The sequence below is a fragment of the Homo sapiens genome, chromosome 14 (genome assembly GCF_000001405.40).
Source record: "Homo sapiens chromosome 14, GRCh38.p14 Primary Assembly".
Lineage (NCBI taxonomy): Eukaryota > Metazoa > Chordata > Mammalia > Primates > Hominidae > Homo > Homo sapiens.
Genome location: NC_000014.9, coordinates 76,201,543 through 76,223,335, shown reverse-complemented (window position 1 = coordinate 76,223,335; position 21,793 = coordinate 76,201,543). Strand labels below are relative to the sequence as shown.

Genomic DNA, 21,793 nt, shown 5'->3' with positions numbered 1-21,793 from the left:
TTGAATGGGTTGAAAACACTGATTTTGTGATGTTAAGCCAAAATCTTGCATTCCTAAAATAAATAATTCACTGAACTTTACTTTCTAATATTTTCTTTAAGATATTTATAAGTATGTTCATTAGATATAGTGGCCTATAATTTTCCTTTCTTGTAATGAACCTGCCACCCTTTGGTATTAAAATTATGGTAGCCTCAAAGTGAATTGGGAATTATTTTTCTTTTTGTATTATTTCAAACAGTTTGTATAAGACTAGTGTCAATTCTTTAAATGTTTAAAAGAATTTGCTGGTGAAGAAAAAAATCTGGACTGGGGATTTTTTTGTGGGAAAGTTATAGTTACAGATTCAACTTTTTTTTCTTTCTTTTTTTTTTTTTTTTTGAACACAGTCTCACTCTGTTGCCCAGGCTGGAGTGCAGTGGTGCGATCTCGGCTCACTGCAATCTTCACCTCCTAGGTTCAAGCGATTCTCATGCCTCAGCCTCCTGAGTAGCTAGGATTACAGGAGCATGCCACCACGACCAGCTAATTTTTGTATTTTAGTAGAGATGGGGTCTCACCATGTTGGCCAGGCTGGTCTTGAGCTCCTGACCTTAAGTGATCCACCTGCCTCAGTCTCCCAAAGTGCTGGGATTACAGGCGTGGGCCACTGTGCCCAGCCCAGATTCAACTTCTTAAACAGATATAAACAATTCAAATTTTCTATTTATTCTTTTGGGTTTGTTGTTGTTACAGGGTCTCACTCCGGTTGTCCAGGCTGGAGTGCAGTGGCAGCATCTCAGCTCATTGCAGCCTTGACCTCCCTGGCTCAGGTGATTCCCCCACCTCAGCCTCCTGAGTAGCTGGGATTACAGGTGCACGCCACCACGCTCAGCTAATTATTTGTATTTTTAGTAGAGACGGGGTTTTACATGTTGGCCAGGCTGGTCTTGAACTCCTGGACTTAAATGATCCATCCACCCTGGCCTCCCAAAGAACTAGGATTACAGGCACGAGCCACCATGCCCAGCCTTCTATTTACTCTTGAGCTGGTAAATTGTATTTTCCTAGAAATTCCATTTCATGAGGATTTTCTGATTTGCTGACAGAAAGTTCTTCATATTACATTCTTAGAATATGAAGGTTTGGGGTTTTAAAAAATCCCAGGCTTTTTCTGGGGTTTTATATTGGTAATCTGTGCCTTTTTTCTATTTTTAAAATAGAGTTTAGAGTAGTTTTGGATTCACAGCTAAATTGAGCAGGAGTACAGAGAATTCCCATATACCTTCTTCCCCCACACATGCACAGCCTTCCTCACCAGAGTGATACATTTGTTACAATCAACACATTATCATAAAACAGTTACACATCTTTATCATCCAAAGTCCATAGTTGATACACTAATGTTCACTATTAGTGTTATACATTCTATGGGTTTTGATAAATGTATAATGGCATTTATCCATTATTGTAGTATCATACAGAGTATTTTCACTGCCCTAAAAATCTTCTGTGCTCTGCCTATTCACCTCTCCTTCCCATCTAACCCTTGGCAACAATTCATCTTTTTACTGTCCCCATAATTTTGCCTGTTCATATAGATGATATCATACTGTAGGTAGCCTTTTCAGATTGGCTTCTTTCACTTAGCAATATGCATTTAAATTTCCTCTATTTCTTTTCATGGCTGGATAGATCATTTCTTTTTAGAGTTAAATAATATTCCATTGCCTGCATGTACCAGATTGTTTATCCATTTACCTGCTGAAAGACATCTTGGGCAATTACAAATAAATCTGCTATAAACATCTGTGTGCAGTCTTTCTGTGGACATAGTTTTCAGCTCATTTGGATAAATACCAGGAAGCATCATTGCTAGATTGTATGGTAAGAGCATGCTTAGTTTTGCAAGAAACTGCCAAACCGTCTTTCATCATAGCTGTGCCATTTTTCATGCCCATTAGCTAATTCCCATTAGCGTTCCTGTTGCTCCACATGCTCACCAGCATTTGGTGTTGTCAGTGTTTTGGAAAATCACCATTGTAATAGGTATGTCATGGCATCTCATTATTATTTTATTCTGATGAGCATCTTTTCATATGCTTATTTTCCATCTGTATATCTTCTTTGGTGAGGTGTCTGTTCAGATCTTTTGTCCACTTTTTAATTTAGGGCTTTTTTTTTTTTCTTATTGCTGAGTTTTAAGAGTTCTTTTTACAGTTTGGATAACAGTCCTTTATCAGATGTGTCTTTTGCAAACATTTTATCCCAGCCTGGGGCTTATGTTCTCATTTTTTTGACTTTTTTTTTTTTAAATCAGTCTTGCTAGAGGTTTATCAATATTATTAGTCTTTTCAGAGAACCAATCTCTGGGTTTGTTGCTATCCTTTTTCTACTTTTTGAGATGCGTACTTAGACTGACTTTTAGCCTTTTTTATGCAAGTTTTGATGTCATTTAAAAATTGCCATATAGTTCCAAATATTGTCTAACATCTACTGCAATTTATTTTTGAACTATCAATAATTTAGAATTGTAATGTTTAATTTCTAAATATTTCAGGCTCTGCTGGGGTTTTTAAAAAATTGATTTTTAGAGTAATTTCACTTTGGTCAGAGAACATATTTTAGGTGATTTACCCTTTGGAATTTGTTGGGACTTACTTTAAAGACCAGCATATGATAAATTCTGGTAAAAATTCAATGGGTGCTTGGAAAGAATACCTCTTCTGACACTGCTGGTTATAGTATTCTATGGACATTAATTAGGTTAAATTTATTATTCATTTTATTGTAATCATCCATATTATTAATCACTACTTGTACTATCAGGTACTTCTAGGTCTGTAATTTTGTTTTCTATATTTTGAAGCTATATTATTAGTTGCATTAAAATACAAACTCTATCTTTCTGGTAGATTTATCTTTTTATCTCTATGAAATGTTCCTTTGTGTCCTTAGTAATGCTTCTTGACTTACATTTATCTCAACTGATATTTGTATAGCTATATCAGCCTTTTCTTGGTTGGTGTGTTTTTTATCATCCTTTTACTTTCAATTTTTCTCTTAACACTCAAAGTATGCCTCTTGAAAGCCAGATATAGTTAGGTTTTTAAAATATTTACCCATGTGTTAGGCAGCCTCTTTAAGATGACCTCAAATGACCAACCTCCTGGTATTAAAGCCTTGTGTAATTGCCTTCCTTGTGTGAGGACTGAAGCTGACTAACCTCTGGTGAATTCTAATGGTTAGTCCTGCTCATGCAAAAGTTGTCAGATTCAAAATGGAGTCACTTGTGTCAAACCCTGACAACGTGGAGCCAGGGAAGGCTATGAAAGGAGGGATTTCATGCACGATTTGCCTGATAACAGAAACGAATCAAAGCTTACCAACTTAAGTCACACAAGGACAGCAGGGCAGCTAATCACTTTTCTAAGAACACTTGCCTGACACATTGACTCATATGCAAGGCCAATCAAACAAAACATAATTTTAAGATCACAAATTTCACCCAATAACTGCCACCACTCACAAATCAGCACTTGCCAGCTCCCAAAAGACACTATCCCCTCCAATGACTTTCTTTCAGAACGACTTGTATAACCTCCTCTTTCCCCAGTAAAACCCTAACCTTTTCCTTTTCTCTGGACATACTGGAGGACACCTGGGTCTGTCTGTATGTATGACCTGGATTGCAATCCCACATCTTGTGTATTACTCCCCAATAAAACCTTTTTACTTAGAGATTCATCTTTCTATACATTTTTATGTTGACATACGTTATTTCACATGTATAGATACAATTGTATCTGTAGGACAAATTCCTAGGATTGCTGGGTTTAAAAATGTAATGAACCTTTGTAATTTTAATAAGATACTGCCAACTCTTTATACTTGGCACTAGTTTATACAATGTATGAGAGCATCTATTTAACTACACATTTGCCATTATAGCGTGTTAACAAACTTTATTATTTTTGGTAGGTGAAAAACTTCTATTATTAAGCATTTTCGTATGCTTCAAAGTCATTTGTATTTTCTCTTCTATTACATGTCTCTGTTAATCTCCTTTGCCCATTTTTATACTGGATTGCTAATGTGTTTTCCTTTTTATTGATAGGGACTCTTTCTATTTTAGATAACTTAGGCCCTCATCTTGGCAGAGTTACACATTTCTTGCCCAAGTTCTCATTTGCATTTGCTTATGGTGCTACTGCCATGATGAAATGTTTTCTCTCTGTGAAGTCTAATCCAGCAATCTTTTCTTTTATGGCTTCTGGGTTTTGTGTCATACTTAGAAAGGCCTTCCCCAGTCTTAGGTTATAAAATAACTTTCCTTTTTTTTTTTTTTTTTGTACTTTTAGAAAAATTATTATTTTTTACGTTTAAATCTTTAGACTGTCTGTAATTTGTCCTGGTATAAGAGGTGAAGTATAGATCCAACTTAACTTTTTTCACCAGAGCCCTACCTAGGAGTTCCCACCCCATTTGCTGACTAATCTTTTTTCCACTGATTGAAAAGCCATCTTTATCATATTCTCAATTCTCGTAAGTATTTAGATCTATTTTTGAACTGTTCTGTTCCACTCATCTGTATGACTACTCACAAATTATTACTACTCTGTTTTAATTGCTGTAGATGTATAAATTTTAATATCTAGTAGTCTCCCTCTATCTTTTTTTAATATGAACTTTAGAATTAATTTATATAATTTTTTTCAATTCTATTGGTATTTTTATTGAAGATCACATTACATTTGTAAATCGAGAGAAGTGATATCTTTATGATGCTGCGTATTTCTATGAGAGAACGTGGTGTATCTTCCCGTTTGTTTGGGTCTTGTTTCATCTCTCATTAGCATTTTAACATTTTCTACAAATAATATTTCTTGTGTTTATTCCTATGTTATCATTTATGTTTTGTGCTATTACAACATGGGTCTTTTCTTCCCTTAGAGCTTGAAATTAGACATTGTATCTATAAAAGCTATTGATTTCTGAAAATTAATTTATTAAATTCTTATTTTGTAAGGTCTGGTTAGTCTTCTTTAGTTTCTAAGTAAAAAACTCAGTATCATCTTAAAATTATAATTTTCTCTTCTCTTCTAATTTCTGTATCTTTAATTTCTTTCACTTAATTGTTTCGCCTAAGTCTTACAGAACATTTTTAAATAATAGTGATAATTAGTGGACATCTTTTTCTTGTTCCTGACTTCAATGAAATTGCTTCTGGTATTCTCAATTAAGCATGACGCAGGCTTTGGATGAGATAAATATATTTTATCACATTAAGGAAACACCCAGCTATTCCTAATATTAAATGATCCTTGCATTCCTGAAATAAGCCTCATTTAGCCATGGTAAATTAGTCTTTCATCTAGAGCCAGTCTGACTGGGTTCAAATCCTGGCACCATTACTTCTTAGCTTTTTGTGTTCAAGCATAATACTTCACATCTTTATGACTCAGTTTCTTTGTCTCTTAAATGGGGATGATGAGAATATCTACTCATTAGGTTGCTGTGAAAATCAATCGACTATATGGAAAGTTGAGCATCTTTTCACGTTTGAGAGACATTTGCATTTTTTCTGTCAACTGTCTGCTCATATCTCTTCTACAGTGGTCTACAGGAGATTCTCTATTTTTATGTTTATAAATTAGGAGTATTAGCCTTTAATCTGTGATGTAAGTTGCAACCATGTTTCTGGGTTATCACTTGTATTTTAGTTTGCTTACTGTGTATATGCATGCAAGGTTTTTTTTTCAACAGTCAAATATATCTCCTCTTATTGCATCTAAATTTTTAGTAGTATTTAGTGTGGAAGAGTACATTATTGGTCCCAAAACTTTCCATTGTCTATATCCCCATCCTTTGCCATGTGGATTTACATTCCCTTCTACCAAAGGAGTGGGGTATATTTTTGTACTGGTCCAAGGAGATGAAGGACACTTAGAGCAGAGGTGCCCCAGCTGAGTTCAGTCGCATTATTATGCAATAGCTAACCCAGGTTACAAAGCATGGGTCCACAGTCTTTTTTAAATAAAAGTTTGGATAGCAAATATTTTAGAGTTTACGACCACATAAAGTCTCTGTTCCATGGTCTCCTCTTTTGTTATTGAACACTTTAAAGGTGGCAGAAAAAACAAAACAAAACACCGTTCTTAGCTTGCAGCAGTCCAAAACTAGGCCTTGGGCCAGTCAGATTTGGCCTACAGGCTATGTGGCTTGCTGACCCCTGTCACAGAGGAATTCATCTTTTTTTTTCCAGTAGTTGTATAGTTTAAATTGTACAATTAAATCTCTCATCAATTTGAAAATTATCCTGGCATAGTGTGAGAAACAGATCCACTTTTTCCTGTATAGCTATATATTTATATGTAGCTATATAACTATATCCAGTTATCTCAACACCCTTCATTTTTATAATCCATCTTTTCCCCCACTGACTTAGGGCACCACCTTTATTGTATCCTGAACTTTCATATGCAATTGGGCCTGTTTCAGAATTTTCTATATCGTTCCATTAATCTATGCATGCACCTATACCACACTTTCAGAGTTGTGTTTTATGTTTTAATATGTAGTGGGACTAGCCCTCCTCCTACCAAGTGCTCTCTTAAAAGGTTTTCCTCGGGCTGCTCTTGTTCATTTGTTCTTCCAAATGAACTTTACAATCAATGTGTCAAGCTCCAGAAAAAAAACTGATGGCATTGTGGGGGTCCCATAAAATCTTTCTGCAGAGTACACAGGCCCAGATTTTAAACTACTTATTAAATTTGTTTAATGTTACAAAACTAATCAAGCATTCTATTTCCCCTGAATGAGTTTTGAGAAATTATTTTCCCTAGGAATTTTGTCTAAGCTTTCAAATATATTGGCTTAAGTTGTTCATATTCATAACTTTATCTATGAGAGTTATCTGATACCTGGATTGAAGGCTCATTCCTCCAGAGAGAATTTGTGGTTGCTTCTAGTAGTTATCTGGGGTTACAACTGGCTTGGGTCTACTGTAAATTAAATTTCCTCATGCAGTATTTTGCAACATACAAGTAGCATAAATTTGAGGCCCAACTCTCTATGTAAGGGACAACTTGTTAAACATTTTTAGGTTGGTGAGACAGGAACAGCTTTTCCTCCACCCAGGGCCAAGGTCAAGAAAGGCAATTTTCCTTGCTGTTATTTCTGCTTGGTGGCTTATTTAGTGTTTACCTTTACACAGTAAGGGTAGCACTTGGAGGGTCCCCACTTTGTGGGAGATCTCAGATTAAACTTCCTGCCTTGAGCAGGCCCTGCTTTACCTCCTGCATCCATCTCAGTCAGCACAACAGAGGCTCAGGGTAATCAGGGCTTACCCTGATCTTCAAGGTAAAAGATGGCTTTTGTCTTACTTGCTTTCCCAGGTTTAAGCTTTCATGTCATTTTTTTTAATTTTTATTTTATTTTTTTAATTATACTTTAAGTTTTAGGGTACATGTGCACATTGTGCAGGTTACATATGTATACATGTGCCATGCTGGTGCGCTGCACCCACTAACTCGTCATCTAGCATTAGGTATATCTCCCGATGCCATCCCTCCCCCCTCCCCCCACCCCACCACAGTCCCCAGAGTGTGATATTCCCCTTCCTGTGTCCATGTGTTCTCATTGTTCAATTCCCACCTATGAGTGAGAATATGTGGTGTTTGGTTTTTTGTTCTTGCGATAGTTTACTGAGAATGATGATTTCCAATTTCATCCATGTCCCTACAAAGGACATGAACTCCTCATTTTTTATGGCTGCATAGTATTCCATGGTGTATATGTGCCACATTTTCTTAATCCAGTCTATCATTGTTGGACATTTGGGTTGGTTCCAAGTCTTTGCTATTGTGAATAATGCCGCAATAAACATACGTGTGTATGTGTCTTTATAGCAGCATGATTTATAGTCATTTGGGTATATACCCAGTAATGGGATGGCTGGGTCAAATGGTATTTCTAGTTCTAGATCCCTGAGGAATCGCCACACTGACTTCCATAATGGTTGAACTAGTTTACAGTCCCACCAACAGTGTAAAAGTGTTCCTATTTCTCCACATCTTCTCCAGCACCTGTTGTTTCCTGACTTTTTAATGATTGCCATTCTAACTGGTGTGAGATGGTATCTCATTGTGGTTTTGATTTGCATTTCTCTGATGGCCAGTGATGATGAGCATTTTTTCATGTGTTTTTTGGCTGCATAAATGTCTGTCATTTTTTACTTCTATAGATTTTTTTCATTTCTTATTATTATTCTGGGTGTTTAGAAATAATTTTTGGTTTTTTTGTTTGTTTTTCTAGAGGAGCAATGATAAAACTAACTTCAAAAGTAAAAGAATTCTGTACGGATGCTCAGTACCTGGGTAACAGGTCATTCATACCCCAAACCTCAGCATCACGCAATATACCCAGGTAACAAACCTGCACATGCACCCCTCAAATCTAAAATAAAAGTTGAAAAAGAGAAAAAAAAACCTTTCCCATGCATTTCATGGTTTTAGGGCTTAGATTATACTAAGCTAAGAAGATAAAACTGACTGACCTTTGGCTGCAAAACAAAAAGAGTTTGTTACTGACTGCTATGGTATAAATGTTTGTGTCCCCCGAAAACAGGTGGAAATCCTAACCCCCAAAGTGTTGGCATTGAAGACAGGGCCTTTGGGAGGTCACTAGATTAGGAGGGTGGAGCCCTAGTGATTGGGATTTATGCCCTTATAAAAGAGACCCCAGAGAGCTAACTAGTTCCCTTCACCATGTGAGGACACAATTAGAAGGTGCCATCTATGAACCTGAAGGCAAGCTCTCACCAGACATTGAATCAGCCAGCACCCTGATCTTGGACTTCCCAGACTGTGAAACCATAAGAAATAAATTTCTGTTGTTTATTTTTTTAAAAAAATTAGGTAAGGTAGCAAGATATATTAGCATACAAAATCAGTAGCTTTTATATAGAGAGCAATAACCAGTTAGAAGACATAATGGCAGAGGAAATCTCATTTACTAGCAAATAAATTAAATACTTAGGGATAAGCTTAGCAAGAAATGCACAAAACCTACACAAGGATAATTTTAAAACACTGCTAAAAGGCACAAAATAGACTTGAATAAATGGAAATACATCTCCTATTCTTGGATAGGATGACACCACATTTTAAAGATGTTAGTTCTCTCTAAATCAGTTAATATCATATAATATCAATAAAATACCAATGTACCTTAAAAAATGAATTTAGACAAGTTGATACTAAAGTTCACATGGAAAAACAAACATGTATGAATAGCCAGAAGCACAATAGGAAAAATTATAAGGGGGACTAGCCTTGCCAGTTGTTAAAACATACTATAAAGTCTCTATAATTAAAACAGTGTGGTACCATGCACAAGTAGACCAGTGGAACAGAAAACCCAGAAAGACCCAAGTACATATGGATCCTGGATTGAATACCGAACCAGAAAAACAACATTACTGGGAAAACAGCTACAATTCAAATAAAGTATGTAGTTAATAGGATTGTGCCAATGTTAATTTCCTAGTTTCAATAATTGTACCATTGGTATGTAAGTTAACATTAGAAGAAGCTGAGAGAAGGGCACACAGGAAATCTATTTTTGCAGATTTTCTGTTAAGTCTAAAATTATTTTTTTTAAAAAAGGTTTTGGATCAAGAGCCCCTGAGAATGTGAAGAGGGGGCTCTGTGTCAGGCTAACATGGAACACCAGAGGGAATAAATCGCCACTGCTCACATTCCCTGAGCTGGCCTCACTTTATCTCTGGCTGGTGAGCTTTTGCTTGGATTCTATAAAATACACGTCTTTACAATAAATTCCATTCCATGCTTTAAAATGTAAAATAAAAAATTGGTGTTACAAAAAGTTTCTGTTAATTCTCCAAATGCATTTCTTTGTTTTCATTGGGTCTTTAAAAGTATTTAGTCTGTCATGCTAATTGAAATACTTACTTCATTTCTTCTATGACAATTGTTATATTAGATTTCTTTTGATGTCATTTTTTGGCAAACTATACCTTCCTGGAAAATTATCCATTTAATCCAAGTTTTTAAATTGTTTGCATACAGTTGAGCAAAGAATATTTTATGACTCTTACCTATTCAATACTTGGTAATTCTTATTTTGTGTTTGTCTTCTCTTGTAATGTTAGCTAAAATGTTACATATTTTACTACATATTTTAAAAATTAGCTTTGTTTCCTCATTTTTCTAATTAATTTTTCTTGATTCTTTTAGCCTGCCTTTAAAAGATTCCTTTTCCTAATATTTTGAGTTATATGACATTTATCTTATTTTTTAATACATAAATTTTAGGGCAATGAATTTTCCTCTGAGCACTGTTTTATTTGTATCTCAGAGGAACAAGTTTATATTTTAGATATGAAATGTTTTTTTAATACTTTGCATTTCCTAATCAACCCAAGAATAGTTGAAGAGCTTAAAAACATTTTGGATTGCAGATGAGCAGTGTTTTCTGGCTTTAATTTATTGCATTTTTTTTTCTGACCACCTATCCTCAAATTCTAAGTTTATTGCATTTTTATCAGCAAATGCCATCTGTTGTTCCTTTTTTCCGTTCTGAAACTTATGTTTTCTGTACGCTCTAATACACAGTCAAATGGGGAAATGTTTCATGGATACTTTGAAGTGTAGTTACCACTTTTAGGGTAAAGTCTAATATGCATCAACTAGATCTTCTGTATCTTATTTAAATCATCCCATGTCCTAGTTTTTTATCCACTTGATCTGTCATGAATTGACAGAATTGAATTAAAATATCCAACTAACATTGTATTTGTTTCTTCCTGTGTCTCCTATGGTTTCCAATACATAAATGGTTTTCCATTATTTGGTACACAGATATCTAGAAACATTATCTCGTGAGTCACACCCTTTAGCATTATGTCGTGGTTTTTTTTGGTTTTTTTTTTTCCGGTTCCTTTTCCCTAAGTTCAACCTTGCCTGATATGCAGACTACAACTCATTTTCTTGTTTGTGTTTGCTTGGTTTACTTTTGCTCAACCTTTCTGAATCTTATAACATGAAATTAGTGTTTGCTGACATTTTTGCCTTTTATCTACAGATAAGTTTACTTTTATTAATATGACAGGTACATTTGTTCCTATTCTATGGTTTTAGACATCTTTCATTTTTGTGATTTGTTTGGTTGTGCATACATGTTTTTTCTCATAATTAGCAGTCTGAATTTTTCTTCTAGTGATAATCTCTTTAATCATATTTTCATATGATCCCCATAATCCTCTATTTCACTAGTCAATATACCTTAATTCTCTACTATGAGCAATGAAAAATTAGTAATTTACCTGTCCTCCCTATACTATTTTAATAATGGAACATAAGTCACTTTCTTATTTCTATGTACAAAAGCTAGACTGCATCGCCTAATTTAAAATGCTGGTCAGTCAGAAGCTGTTCAGGAAAAATGTTGGCCCAAAACTCATAATTATTTCACTTTTATGCAGTTTCAAAAGATTTAGCTAACTTTATTTATAGCACGGTATTAATGAGACCAAAATCATGGGATCAGAACTTAGTGTGAGCCAGCAGATTGGTTTTATCCCATGGGCACTTCCTGTAGGCTTAAAATATCAATGATTGCTAAGGTGTTCAGTCCAAAAGGTGTAAATAGATCAACACAAATTTATTGTCACTACTGAGAAACAAAGCCCAAAAAACTTAACTGGTAGTTGAACAACTTTGACACTGAAGAACAGTACAAGGAACTAAGACCATCACATTGTGCATTAAACTCTACTAAGTCGGTGGTTCAAGGGGAATAACCTCAGACTGGTATCATGCTAGAACATGTAATGGAATCAGTCAGCCATGATTCCAAATACACCATTACTTCCAATTCAGTTTAACCTAGTTTTAACATGTCAGTAGCTCCTACCAATAAGTGGGCCTAGCTATATTTCCCACGGAAGGTGATCAAGGCAATGCAAATCTGTTCACATCTCAGTTCCAGCTTTGTATGCACAATGGGCCAGTTGCAGTAGGGTTTCCACGAATGCACCCTGAGCTTAGCAGAGGAATACGGCAATAGTTCTCCAACTCAACAAGTAAGCCAGTATACACAGGACCCTTCACTTCCTGGCTCTTGCCTTTCTCTCTTTGTTCCTCTGTAAGCTTTACATGTGGGCCATACTAAAACACTTGCAGTGCTCTGAATAAACCATGCTTTTACCCTTGGAGGGCTTCATCCACTCTTCTTAACTCCTGCTTATCCTTCAGGATTTCTTTCAATGTTTTTTTTTACTTCTTCCACTGCCCAGTTTGAGTTAAAGTGCCCTCCTCCTTGCTGCCAAAATACCCTGTCATTCTTATTTCATTCTACATTGTAATACTTTTTTTCTGGTCTCTTCCGCAGAAGACCATGAACATCATGAGAGCAGGAATGCCTTTCTTCTCTGTATACCCAGCTCCTAGCAGAGTGCTTGGCATAAGATGTGTTCCATACACATCTAATGAATGAAGGGGCATTTCTAAAAGCCAAGACTGTTAAGGCAGCTTTTGCTAACAGTCAAAAGAAATGTTTACCAAGGTGTTGAAAACAGTCTATCACTAACATTAACATCTCAGAACACATATCCCCCTCACTTAGGAATCAGTTGTGCCTTGGTACAGAAAGGATAATACCTTCTTATTGCCACAGGTTTGCAAGATCTGCAAAATTTCATTGACTTTTCTCTTGCTCTGGTCACTCTCAAGAACAAAACTAGGTTGTTATAAGAGGATGTCACAGAAACCGGCTATCTCCTTTCAATCATGTACGCACAGAGAAGGGATGAGCCCATTCACAGTTGCCTGGTAGAGAAACAGCCCACCAGGACAAACAAGTCAATAAAGAGGTCTCATCAGACACTGGCCCATGGCCCAGTGGCCCACAGCTTATGCATATGTACATGCCCTCCAACAGTTCAGTTTGTAAAAAGAGGCAGCAGAGGTATTGATTGGGAACAGACACTCTTTAACATCAGACTTGAATCTGAATCTTGACTGACACTTAATAGATATGTGACTCGAGCAAGTTTGTCTGTAACTGTAAGTGTATTTCATTGTTTTAAAATGGAGATAAAAGTACCTACCTTTAGAGTTGTTGAATAAGTGAGATGTTGCTTCCAAATGGCAGACCACCAAATACATATTTGCCATTATTATTATTAGGTACTCTGGACAGGGGCCTAATAGTTTCAAGGATAGTATATCTAAGGAGCCCAGGAGTATCCTGCTTTAGGGCAGTTACCCTCTTCCCTAAGAGGTCCCTGAGGAGGACTTCGCTTCATCAGTGTTCAGTAAATGTTTGTTCAATCAGTGACTGGGGCAATGGTTCTGGTGGACCTTTGTTATTCTTATTGGCTGTCCAGCATCTGAAGTACCTTCCCATGTGTGAGGAAGCTCAACTTTCCAGATAACCTCATTCTGACTTCCTAGCCAGGACACAGGCATATGACTACTAATCAGATCCACCTACCCCATATTTTGAATCAGAAACTAGTGATTCAAAGACATCAGGAACACACAGGGTCACATCTGATGAAAGTGGAACCCCAAGTTTCACTGTATTCATAGGGCTAGTGCTGATGCCCCAATAAAAAGTTCTTTGATAAAAATCAACATGAAGTTCAAGGCCAAAAAGGCTTGAGGAAGCCAAATTAAAAAATTAACCAGCAGCAGAAAGCCACAGATTAAAGACAGCATTAGGTGGAGGAGCCCCTTTTGGGCACAGGCCCCCTTACCAGTCCAAGACCCGGAAGAGGAGAAAGCAGAAGAGGGAACACAGTCCAGGCCATCTTTTCATAAATAGCAACTCATAAGTAAACAGGAGTGACCCACCTTAGAATCTCACTAATCTAATTAGCAATTCCTCCTACCTCACTGGGCTTGGAGGAGGAACAAGGGAGGTGAGAGAAGGACCAGAGACCTTTAATATGCTTTCCTAGAAGCCTGCAGTAATAAATGTGAATGCTCCACTCTAATCTGTGCTTTTAAGTTGGTGCATTAAGGTGGTATGGCAAAGGAACTCACTGGCATACAGGTGTTCACTGAAATAACGGAGGTGGCGGCAGAGACCGGCATCCAGTCTGTGCTAGACTGACCTACCAAACAACTCCACAGAAACTGAGAAAGAGCAAAGAAGTGGCAGAAAAATCAGGAAAGTAGGGTCAGGAAAGGGAGCATTCCAAAGAAGGAAGTGGTTATATAGCATCAGTGTCATAAAAATCAACCTATGGGCTAAATTTTAATAGTAGAAGTCACTGGTGGGTGAATCCAGCAAGAACAGTTTTAATGGTAGCAAGGGTAGCAGCCAGGTTTTAGAGTGGTGGTTCTCAGCCTCAGCTACATTTCTTTTTAAAGACTGAAACCCATCCCCACCTCCCCATGCTGATTTAACTGGTCTGTGGTCCAGTCCAGGAATTAGGACTTTTTAAAACTTCCCAGGTGACCCTAACATGCAGCCAGGGTTAAAAACCACTGCCTCGGTAGACTGCAGAATGGACAGAGTGCAGATAAGGGCAGTATACCTTAGTGGTACTCAGGCTTTCAAAGGGTTGAGGAAAGGTCTTTTGTTTGAAGGAAGGAGTATCTGAACATGTTTAAATGCAAAGCTGTATGTGCCAGGAGTGTGAGGCTGTAGCTAGATCAAGTCATTTATCAAGGGAGAGGTCCTAGGGCACAGGAAAAGGGGTTCGTCTTGGGCAGGACAGGCACTGGCAAGAAGGTAAGGAAGCGTGTGTGTGTGTGGGTGTCTAAGTGGGAAGTTCTGCCCGAGGCTGTTATGTGGTGGGGGAGGGCTGAGATTAACTGCTAAGATTGAGAGAAGGTGGGGGTAAAAGGGTTTAGAATGGCCAGTTTGCAATAAGCTGCTGACAACAGGAGGGAGTTTGACATCAATACTGAGAGCAATTCAAATCGTTACCATGACTTTGGGGTGGCATCAGTTTGCATGGTCGTGAGATTTTTTTTCATGGCCACTTGAGGAAGCAAGGTGTAGGACCCATACATAATGAAATGCATTGATTTTGAGTCAAAGTCACGAAGGCCATCTTTAAGTTCTCTGATATTTTCTTTCCCCTTTCAATTAAAAACATTTGATTGAGGGGTCAGCAAGGGTCAGAACTTTTAGGGAAAGAAAACATTAACTTATATAATTTACATCTTAAAGCCTTCTAACTTTTTAGTCTCACACCTTGATAATATCTAGTAACACTAACATTTTTGGCCAGAGGTAGTTTTAACTGGTCTTCAAGATGGAAAAGAAGTGTGGTGTTTTAAAAGACTGCAAAAATTGAAATGAGAGCTTAACAGCCTACAGACATGAGCATCTGAGGAAATGAGAACTCCTAGTACACCTTTGCAAACACAATGAACTCTTTAGCTATGCATATTCCCTGAAAAGACAGAACTTGGATTTCTGGGCTCTGGCAACCAGTTAGGACCCAGCCCAATTAATAAAGGTAAAATATGAAGAAAAAATGGCCATGGTTTCTTTTCAAAGCCTTAAGATTAGAGTACCATATTCTGAAATGCTGAATCCACGAGTCAGACAATAACAACAACCAAAAAGCATGACATCGCTATTGGTCTCCAACCCCTGCAAAATTGCTAGCTGAAATCTAAAAAAAGAAAACACGGTGTGATTAAGTGGGATCACAGAAAATTGATTTTTACATGCTCTGAAGTACTGAGATTCAGTCCTAGCAAGAGATTACCAATAACTCAACAGGTATTTATTACACATCTATGTACCCAAGGTGTTTTTTTCTTCCAATTTTTTTTTTCATTTTTATGAGCCGTACTTTAAATGATTCATCATTATCATGCTGGAAAATACATGATACTTTCCCTTGAAACTAAGATCTAATGAACAAATATGGTAAACTCATACCTTACACAAATCCTATTTTTACTGCCAATTGTGAAAAATGACTATCATTCGTAGACTAACAATTCATTGATCTATTTTTATCAATTTTTATTTTATTATCTATTTTTTGATACAGGGTCTTGCTCTGTCACCCAGGCTGGAGTGCAGTGGCCAGATCATGGCTCACTGCACCCTCAACCTCCTGGGCTTGAGTGATCCTCCTGCCTCTGCCTCCCAAGTAGCTGGGACCACAGGCATGCACCACCACAGCCAGCTAATTTTTAAAATTTTTTGTAGAGACAAGGTCTCACTGTGTTGCATAGGCTGGTCTTCAACTCCTGCAATAAAGCAATCCTCCCGCCCTGGCCTCCCAAAGTGTTGGGATTATGGGCGTGAGTCACCACACCCAGGCTTTATCCATTTTCAAAAGGTTATTTCCATCCACCTAAACATAGCCCTTGATAGCATCCTTTGTCAATTCTTCAAAAAGATCTTTCAGGAGCTTGTAGGGGAAAAAAAAAATATGAGAAATAAAGACATTAACAGTTTCTGCAAAGAATTATACAAAAAAAATCTCTTTACTTATGGAGGGAATATGAGAGCACCTCAGAGCTTAGGAGGAGACCAGTCCATTAAAACATCTTTTTAACCGTGGCAAAGCCTATGGTTCTCAAACTTGAGCATGCACCAAAGACCCCTGGAGGGCTTGTTGAAGACTGCTGGGCCTTGCGCTGGGAGTTTCGGATTCAGTAGGTCTGGTGAGGGCAAGATGTGCTGATGCTGTTGGCCTAGGGACCACACATTGAGAATTCCTGCTCTGGGCATCTCCCTTTCTCTCCCCATTGCTTCCCACTTCTCCACCTTGCCAAGATTGCTTCTTTGCTGAATGTCTTCATGACATGCCCCATTCTTCAACACTGTACTTTAAAAATTTTTTATTCCCTAAATCTGGCAATTTTACCAAGCATTTATGATGTCTACTCGCAGTGACAGAAAAATTTCTTCTTTTGGCCATAGTTTGTTTTGCTGGACTTGTTAAAAACCCTGTAGGTCCATACTCTTCAACAATACTTCTCATCTTCCTTCTTTTTGATGTTGCTGTTTCCGGGCATTTGATGTTCATCTTTTGGAGACGTTAACACAGGAGAAAGCATCTCTCTACCACTTGCATTTAGTTCTGAGTGATGGAACTCACCATTTTCCTCACCCTTTCCCTCTGTACCAGTTTTCTTCTAAGGGGCGAAATTGTTGCCAGTGACAGTAACTCTGTGACCTTTCACAACAGGAGTGGGAGATCAGGAAATACTGACAAATAAAATTGGCAGCTCAAGCACTAGCAGAGGGAAGCAGCTGACAAGAGCTAACTGCTTTTACCATCCCTCCAACCATCGCATGAACCATGACGTCCTCCAAGCCATGCCTCCAACTAGACTGCATCCACAGCTGCTACAGTAAGCCACTCTGCTCTCAGCCCAGCTCAGATAGGTTCACAAGACATATAGGGCACTGAACACAGCTTCTAACGCTGAGATTTTTACATAGTCTTCTCCCCAGGGGGAAAAACCTGTGTGGCTCAGAATCACAGTAATGAAGCCAAAATGAAACAAAGACCTGAAATCAATCATGCATCACCACCAGGAGCCTTCGCCTGGAGCCAAAGTGGAGAACCCATCGCATCAGCAATGACTGTGCCAGCCTAGTTCCTTTGTCTCAACACTCTGTATCTTTTTCAATTCCAAGTGACTTTAATGATAACTCTGCAGCAACAGAACTTCCCAGGCTATATTACAGGTATACAGATACAGCTACAGTGTCTCTAACTACAACATGCAAGGCTATTATCAATCTATTTGGAAGTCATAACTAGTCGCTTGTCCAGGGTGTTGTGCTTTACTTAACAAAGGATGCTACAAGCATCACAGACTAAGAAGATTTATTTCAGCTTTTGGCCATTTTGCTACAAAAATAGCCTTGTTAGTACCCTATTTCATAGCCCAGCAATGTCCTCTTCAATTCTGAATCGCATTTGATTTCTAAACAATTCAAGGCTAAATGTGGCCTATTTTCCAACCACATACCACTCAGTAAAAATTATACTCAGCCCCCTCCAAATCTGGTACCAGGTAAACAAGCTACTAATTTCTTTTTATTATTTCTTACCAAGAGGCAACACAAGGCTGGGCATGGTGGCTCGCACCTATTATTACAACACCTGGGGAGGCTGAGGCAGGAAGATTGCTTGAGGTTAGGAGTTCAAGACCAGCATAGGCAACAGAGCAAGACCCCATCTCTCCAAAAACTTAAAAAATTAGCCAGGCATGGTGGCACACTTCCATAGTCCTCACAACTCAGGAGGCTGAGGCAGGAGGATGGCTTGAGCTTATGAGTTCAAGGTTACAGTGAGCTATGAACACATCACTGCACTCTAACCTGAGTGACAGATCAAGAACCTGTCTCTAGGAAACAACAACAACAACAACAACAACAAAAGGCAACACAGGAGTTTTGTTCCTTTAAAATACTGCATCTGAAAAAAATCTAAAATTCCTTTAAACTCGTAATTAAAACTAACTTTTTATTATGATCCTCACAGAAGCAGATAATGTTCTGACTTCTGCCCATCGTGGAAAACACACTAAACTAGGATTCAGACAGGCCATTTGTGTAGCCAGCTGGGAAAAATCAGAACCCTGAAATAAATAACAACTGTTTAACTCAGCTTTAGTTATTACTTTTGAGCAGATCAAATACATGAGCTCAAGGATCATCCTCAAAGTAAGTCATAGTTCAGAGTTTTTTCAACACTGATTACAAAACCTCATTTTTGAAACTACGTAACTTCTTTGAAAGATAACAGATTTTTCTTAACTTACGACATTATACACTGTGCCGCATATAAAGAAACTTTAAGATTCAAAATACACTCATTTCTAAGGCTATCCTCTGGAACTGGTTAATACAGAAAGCAAGCAGAATACACTGATTAATAATTCCTTAAACATGCACGTACAGCACCTTAAAATGAGGAGCACAATTTACAACCCTGTGTTGGAAAGTATTTGTGTGCTTAATATTCTGTTCTCTCAGGCAACTAATTTTCTCCCCATTTATTACAGGTAGATGTTGCATTCTTGGGTAATCCCTGTTGAAAGTATTCAAAATGTGTAGAAAAGCATGCCCAAGAAAGATAATAAATATTCATGGTATACTGTTTCATAAATAAGCATCTCAGACTGACTCAGGTCTATCACTGAAAAACAAGAGATTATAACCCAGGGCAGAGAAAATCTGAAAGTCTGGGATTCTAGTCCTGGCTTAGTTATGTGATTTGGAGCAAGTCACTCAACTCTGTGGCTGTTTTCATCTCCTTAAAATGGCATGACTTCGTAGAGATGTTTGAAATGTAAATAATGTTGTATATAAAAATTATTTTTAATCATAGGTAGAAAGGCAGACTATTAGGAAACAAGTTATATAGAAAAAATGTGGGAACACCTTGGCCACCTGACCTTTGGAGGTTTTCACTAATAGGCCATGATCATGGGACCAATCACTGCATGAGTCATAGAGCTTGACACAAACAAAAAATTACGTCCACAGATTTCTCTCAAACCCAACCAAGTATGTTAAAAATATATGCCACGGGTCACTATGGTGACAATGCACATGACAACAAAATCTAACCTCATCACTAGAACAATTCAGTGGTACGATTTTATATTCAACAGACATTACATTTTCTATACTTCTACGGGTGCAGCCCACAGGGAAGGGAAGTGCAGCCTGGGAAGTCCCTGTAAGCACACACACTGCTGCATGAGAGCCAGGGGTGACTCAGAGGCATGCTGGGCCAGCTTCAGCACTCTCCCATCCCATCATCTCCACTCCTGTAAGCACACACACTGCTGCATGAGAACCAGAGGCAACTAAGAGGCATGCTGGGCCGGCTTCAGCACTCTCCCACACTACTGCATGAGAACCAGGGGTGGAACATCCCTGTGAGCACACACACACTGCTGCGTGAGAACCAGAGGCGACTCACAGGTCTGCTGGGCTGGTTTCAGCACTTTCCCGTCCCATCATCTACACCTGCTCTCCCTCTACCATATTCCTGATTATGAACAATTGATATGTTCTCAGTCTTAAAGTGCCATGTAAACTTAGCTTCAAGTCCCCTTTTCCAACTAGATTCATGCCCACCCACCTCCCTTTGATAAAGAAATCTGGAGTTTCCATTGATAAGGACTATAATTTTAAAAGCAACCCGTCATTACACTTCGTATGGGAAACAGGGGCAATCGCACTTTGGGGGAAGGAGGTGCTGCCCCATTCAGCACCTATTTAAGACAGAAAATAAGCAGATGCATGAGTGGGAGTCCCTCTACAATGTGACCAGAGCAGGGAGCACTTCACCAAGAGCTTCTATGTATTTCAGAGTAAACGCACTCATTGGTATAAAAAAAAGAGCCCTTCTGTCAGCTAGGCCCCTGAATGAATGACAGACACTCCTGATAATATTTTCTAGAAAGCGTGGCTTCTCTCCAGCAGCTCCAGGCCATCACTTATTTCTCATTTTGACAAAGTAGCATCCAACTTCAGGCACGACTGTATATATAACTCCACATGCAGCTGAGCCATCATAAACACGCCAAGTATAAAGGCATGTCAAAAAGACATTTTACTTCCCCAAAGCATGGCCCCAAGAAGCCATTATTATAATAGAGTATGAATTTCTGCTGCAGGTTATTAGCCTATAATACTAACAATAAAGTCCTGCTTAGGACATAAAGGCTTACACTGGGACATGAAGTAGTAAGACACAATCCACTGACTATTTTAAATTTGCTGTACACCTAAACCATCTTCTCCATTATACCAATCTGTGTGTGTGTGTGTGTGTGTGTGTGTATACACACGTCCTCTTTCAGTAGAACATAAACTCTGAAGATGAGGTAAAATACAATACAGCTGCTGCTGCTGATGAGCTGTCTGAGTTTCTGCAGACAATCTGCAAAAAAATGGAAGTTCTCAAGGCCCAGTTGCTGGTGTCTCTTTTGAGGCCCCAAAACTTGGTTGATTTATCTTATTGGCACTCTGCATGAATCAAGAGTAGGCTCAAAGGCAAGCCTTATCTCCTGCGAACACAATTCCATACAGGTCTCAACTCAATATTTAAATTTGTTTGGAACTGGCTACAAATTTGGAACTTCCTCAAATGATATTAAAAGCTCTACACAAAAGGTATGCAGAAGCAGTTACTGGTTTTTCAAGAACAAAGACAACTGCAAAAAAGCAACAGTTCTGTAAATGGAGCTGTAGTAAATGTTGAGACAGCAATAACAAGGTAACAAATAGAGCAGAGGATGACCTTTTTGTAAAAAATTGCTGCCTCAATATTTCACTATTTAAAAAAAAGATTCCCACAACATGATCTTCTGAGAGAAAGAATCCACTGCTGTGTTTGAAAGAGGAGTTGGTTCTGGTGGTGAAAGGACTGGGAATGTCGATTAAGATATGCAAGACTATCTAACACAAAGTCCAACATTTGCTTCAGCAACACCCAGTCAGCTCCTGGAGGGTGAAGTCCTGCTCTCTAGCTGTATCCAGGGCTCTTTTCTTGTGGCATTTTAAAAAATGTAGCAGTAGTTGCGTCTGTGGCTTTCTCTGCTGCAGAGGTCCTCACCAACCACTCAGAGCTGGGTGATTTGGGGGCTTGTGATGCTGGTGTGGTTGGCTCCACTGCATCCATGTGAACTAGTAAGGTTACAACAGAGAGGAGCAAAACATCAAGGGGAGATAAATTAGAATAAGACAAATTAGAATGAGAGATACTTAGAAAAAAAATTTTCTTAATCCTTATACTTCATGTCCTAGTAACCCAAGTGGCCACGTAAGGTATCTC

At 38.2% G+C, this 21,793-nt stretch overlaps 1 protein-coding gene across 8 annotated transcripts in view, besides 1 other annotated feature; it reads right to left on the bottom strand.

The window, feature by feature from the left end:
- Positions 1 to 21,793, bottom strand: part of GPATCH2L (G-patch domain containing 2 like) — an 83,634-nt gene that overhangs the window by 12,220 nt on the left and 49,621 nt on the right. For 3 of the 8 annotated variants that reach the window (XM_017021428.2, XM_017021427.2, NM_017926.4), the window contains one exon: positions 8,993 to 21,645. The exons of 3 other annotated variants lie outside the window; for them this stretch is intronic. In XM_017021428.2, the coding sequence (XP_016876917.1) occupies positions 21,485 to 21,645 (161 nt within the window). In that variant the 3' untranslated portion in view covers positions 8,993 to 21,484. Of the gene's footprint in view, positions 1 to 8,992; positions 21,646 to 21,793 lie in introns of those variants that run through there. 2 more of the 8 variants (NR_110314.1, NM_017972.3) reach the window with 1 other exon arrangement.
- Positions 19,613 to 20,042: an enhancer, noted in NCBI's record as "active region_8767". NCBI's record gives its function as "activates an Ori minimal core promoter by ATAC-STARR-seq in GM12878 lymphoblastoid cells {active_cell/tissue: GM12878}" and the evidence as "EXISTENCE:reporter gene assay evidence [ECO:0000049][PMID:35858748]".